The following is a 4,447-nucleotide window of genomic DNA, read 5'->3' as shown; positions in this document are numbered from 1 at the left end:
AGCCATATGAAAATTGTTCGACATCATAAATTCTCAGATAAATGCAAATCAAAATTATACAGTGAGATTCCACTGCAAATCCATCAGAAAGGTAAAGTTCAAAAGAATTTCAATACTAAGTGTTGGCAAGAATATGGAGTAGCAGTGTAAACTGGTATAATTTTTATTTTGTGGTTTCTTTTTTTTAACCAGCATTTATTTATACTACCATTTATTCTGTCCATGCTGGGGGTGAGGGGGAAGGGGTACAGAGAACCCCACAGACGAGGAGCGTGCTCCTGCAGGAAGACTGCATTTGGAGGCCAGTGGGCCCTGGGGGCTGGCGAGGGGCTTCTTTGGTTCTCAGAGGTAACGGAGTCCAGCGCAGGGGGCGGTAGGTAGGTTGCAGAAGCCGGCTCCCACCAAGCAGGCCAGCTCCGAGAGCCCGGGAGGCGTGTCCAACCTACGCTAGGCCGCGTGTGGCCGTGGCCCCGGCTCCTGTTCGGGTCTGTCCGGTCCCTATGCCCCAGGAGGGAAGCCAGCGCCGGGCCCCTGCTCTTCTCAGTGGGGAAGGTACTGTGCAATTCATCAGGTTTACATTAAAAATAATACAAATAACAATATAGAATTTAAAAAGCCTGTCTCAAACTTGAGACCAGCCCACCCGGCGCCCCGTGTGAGAAGCAGAGGCGCCTGCCGCAGCCCGGAGCGGAAATGAGGGCCTGGTTGGAGCCGCGGGCGGGTGCGAGGGTCTCTTGGCGGCTCGGGCCGTGGGGCTGAGGGGCGGAGACGGCCCAGGGCTGCGGGACTGGGGGCTGCAGAGAGCGGGGCGGGGACGCGCGCCAGAGGCCAGGGCGGGGCGCGGGCTGGGCTGGGCGGGTCTGCTGGGCGTCGCGTTCTCGGCGTCCGCTCATCCCGCTGCTCTGAGCTGCCTGGCCTCGTGGAGATGTATGGCGCTGTTTTGGAAGAGGCCTAGGGCGGCAGGAGAGGCGGGCGGGCGCCAGCGCTTGGTCTTCTCGGACCTTCCAGATAGCCGGATGCACGCAGGCGCCGCGCCCCCGCGGGAGCTGTGCTGTACATGCGTCTCTGGGTGAGATGTCCCACGTGGTCGGCCGTGAGGCTCCGCAGAGAGCACTTATAGGGGAGGCCCAGGCGCTGGGGAGAGCGCGGACTCGTCCACCTCCGTGCTGTGGATACCCTAAGAGGTCACAGGCCGCTCTCCAGGCGGTGCGGGTGACGATGGTGTTGGTGCCAAGCGGAACACGTTCAGCAGGACTGCCTGCAGCTGACGCTAATGTCGGCAAGAAAGCCGTCGGTCTTGACGAAGGCGTCGCGCACCACGTTCCTGTGGCCGCGTTACCGGGCCAGCTCCAGGCCGTGCGTGGTGCAGGGCGCCCAACAGTCCAGGGCATGGGTCCCAGTGGGGAGGCGTCCCCCAGAGCTTTCTCAAACGTCCTCACGAAGCCCTCCAGGCGCTCCTTCCGCCGGCAGGTGAGCTCAGCGACCTGATGGCGCCGCGCAACCCCGGGTCTCCCAGCCGCCCCCAGTGGCAGCAACTCCTCGTTGCGGACATAGAGCTCGACGAGGACACGTGGGACTCGGTGCCGCGGGACAGCAGGTCCTGCAGGAGGAGTCCTTGGGCTTCTTCTCCTTGGCCGTGAAGAAGACGGAGCGGTGGGTGTGGGACGGGGAGCCGTTCTTGAGCTGGGCCTGGGTTAGCAGGAGCTCCTCAAGGGGCTGCACAGGGCGGCCTGGTTCAGGTTCCTCACCGGGGGCTGCTCCAGTAGCTGCACGAGAAGCTGGTCCCGGCGGCCAGCCTGCCCACCAACTCCTCCTCCCGGGACACATCCTGTGGCCTCGGGGATTCCCAGGCGGCTGAGCTCTGGGAGGGTGTTCGTGGCAGTTCAGGTAGAGGTTTTCTCCGGGGTTGCCGGTCTCAGGTCATCGTTTCCTCTTTCAGCGCCTTCTCCATAGCCTCCTGGTGGCGCAGAACGGAACACTTCTGGATGAACAGGTTGAGATGGCGTTGGCGGATGACGGTGGTGACTGCCCCTAAACTCTTAGGGGATAATGGGTCTCTTTACACTCTGTAAGGATGGACTGTGGGCGAGTCGCTTACGGGTGATGATGGTGGTGGTCTTGGACGCCATCCCTCACCACCTGCGGGTCTCAAGCAGCTGGCTGAGGGGCTTGGGGCCTCACTGGGGGTCTGGCTGCAGCTGGCCACGAGGGTTTTCTGTAGGGGCTGCAGCCAAGCGGGTTTGGGGACGTGGGCGATCCTCTTGGAGCGAGGACGGCTCTCCGCTAGCCTGGGGGCGGCCTGCAGCCAGCTCACCTACTTCCTCTGCGCGTGCTGGGCCGGCAGGTAGCCAACTAACTCCTGCGCCGGTGGGCGGGGCACCGCGGGACTCCTCCTCTAGGGCTCCGCCTCCTGGCCTTGCTTGGAAAGATATCATCCTCTTCTGAACAGAGTGGTCAGACCCGAAGGTCTCTTCCTTGGGGGGCTGAAGGCCAGTCGACCTTTGTCCTCCGTGTTGACGCTAGTGGACTCGTCGAAGATCCACAGGCACGCCTCCAGGGGGTCGGAGTGAAGTCCACCTCTTTTTCTAGGGCTGAGTAGTCCACATCCTGCCCGCGCTGGAGGAGAAGGAGGAGGAGTAGGATGGGCCGGGGAGTGGGGCGGGGAGTCCTTGAGCCGCTTGGGCGATTTCTGAGCCTCCCCGAAGCCCAGGCTGGAGACCGAGTCTAAGTCCCAGCTGAGGCTGGGAGGGCAGGGGCCCACATCCTCGGCGCCACAGATTCCGGGGCCTCGTCCTCACTCTGGTCTCCGAAGAGATCAGGGTGGCTCAAGACCCGCTTCTTCAGCTTGGGGCGTCCTGGGAGGGGTCTAGCGAGCAGGCCTTCCACTCCACCAGCTTCCCTGCAGGGGCCTTCGTGTGCTTCCTGTCTGGGAGGGTTGGGGCAGCAAATGGACTTCGGTGGCCGAAAATGGCTTCTTACTGGTCGCTTCCCCCGCTCTGCCTTGCGGCAGGGGCTGCTGGCCTGCAGGCCCTTCTTGTCCACACCGGGCATCTCCCCGGGCTGCCCTCAGCCCTTGTCCTTGGTCTTGTCCTCCTCCTGGGCACCATCTTTGCGGCTGGGGTCCCGCTTTTCTTACTCGGGTTTCCCCTCTTAGAGGCAGCTACCATCCTGCCAGGCCAGGCCTGGGGAACTGGGTGTGGCCGGGGACTCCCCAGCAGCCGGAGGTCCCCCACGTGGCGCTGCATGGCTATCTCCTTGGTCACCCGCAGGCCGCCCCCCCTCAGCCTCCAGACCCTCCCTGGAGGAAGGCTGCCTGGCGGCTTGGCTCCCGGGGCTGGCCCTGGCTTTGAGCAGGGCTGGCCATGGCGGGCTCCTTGGCGGCATCAGTTTTTGAGAGCAGAGTAGAGGGCTCACTGCCACGGGAGCCCGGGGCCGCTTGGTGGCCTGTTGCTTCCGGGAGCTGGCAGAGCTGAGGTGCCAGGCCAAGCAGCTGGAGAGCGGCCTGGAGTTGGCCATCACCTAGATGCCGCTGGGGACAGGGCGGCTGTGCCGCTGGGGCTGGCTCACGGCCATGGGGACCAACTCCGTGGCGTCGCACCACCTGCGCCTCTGCCCTGACCCCTGGACTCCTATACAGAAGATAGAAATTATTTAGGTTGATAGGGTGCAAGAGTCCCCGGCAAAAACTTTCCTTTTAACAAAAAGCAGCTCAGAAATTACTTTCTTTGGCTGGGCGCAGTGGCTCACGCCTGTAATCCCAGCACTTTGGGATGCCGAGGCGGGCGGATCACGAGGTGAGGAGATCAAGACCATCCTGGCTAACACGATGAAACCCCGTCTCTACTAAAATTAAAAAAAACTTAGCGGGGCGTGGTGGCGGGCGCCTGTAGTCCCAGTTACTCGGGAGGCTGAGGCAGGAGAATGGCGTGAACCCGGGAGGCGGAGCTTGCAGTGAGCCAAGATTGCGCCACTGCACTCCAGCCTGGGCGACAGAGCCAGACTCCGTCTCAAAAAAAAAAAAAAAAAAAAAAAAAAAGAAATTACTTTCTTTTTAACCACACACAGTTTAAAGAAATTACTTTTTTTCTAACAAAGAGCAGTCTGGAAGATTGGGCTATAAAACATAAATAAGCACTTCGACAACAGAGGGGGAGCTTCCTGAATAATCACCAAACTCCACATAAATACAATGAGTCCCAGTAAAAACAGTGGACCTTAATGAGCATATTCCTTTCCCTATTTTGGGCACACTAAGATAGGGAAGCAGAAAGCTTGCATGGATAAAGGCTAGCAGCTTGCCAATAGACTTGGGGGCTGGGTGTGTTCAACATGGAGGCTCCATTCCCCCCCCCCCCGCCTTTTTTTTGTTTGTTACCACAAAAACTAGGCAACGGCCAGGCGCCGTGGCTCATGCCTGTAATCCCAGCACTTTGGGAGGTCGAGGCAG

At 60.5% G+C, this 4,447-nt stretch overlaps 1 pseudogene; it reads right to left on the bottom strand.

Annotated features, from left to right (window-relative positions):
• LOC100129276 (RNA exonuclease 1 homolog) lies at window positions 990-3,632 on the bottom strand (annotated as a pseudogene).

This window comes from Homo sapiens, chromosome 7 (genome assembly GCF_000001405.40).
Source record: "Homo sapiens chromosome 7, GRCh38.p14 Primary Assembly".
In the NCBI taxonomy this organism is placed as follows: domain Eukaryota; kingdom Metazoa; phylum Chordata; class Mammalia; order Primates; family Hominidae; genus Homo; species Homo sapiens.
The sequence above is the reverse complement of the archived record's forward strand: the minus strand, read 5'-3'. Positions and strand labels throughout refer to the sequence as shown.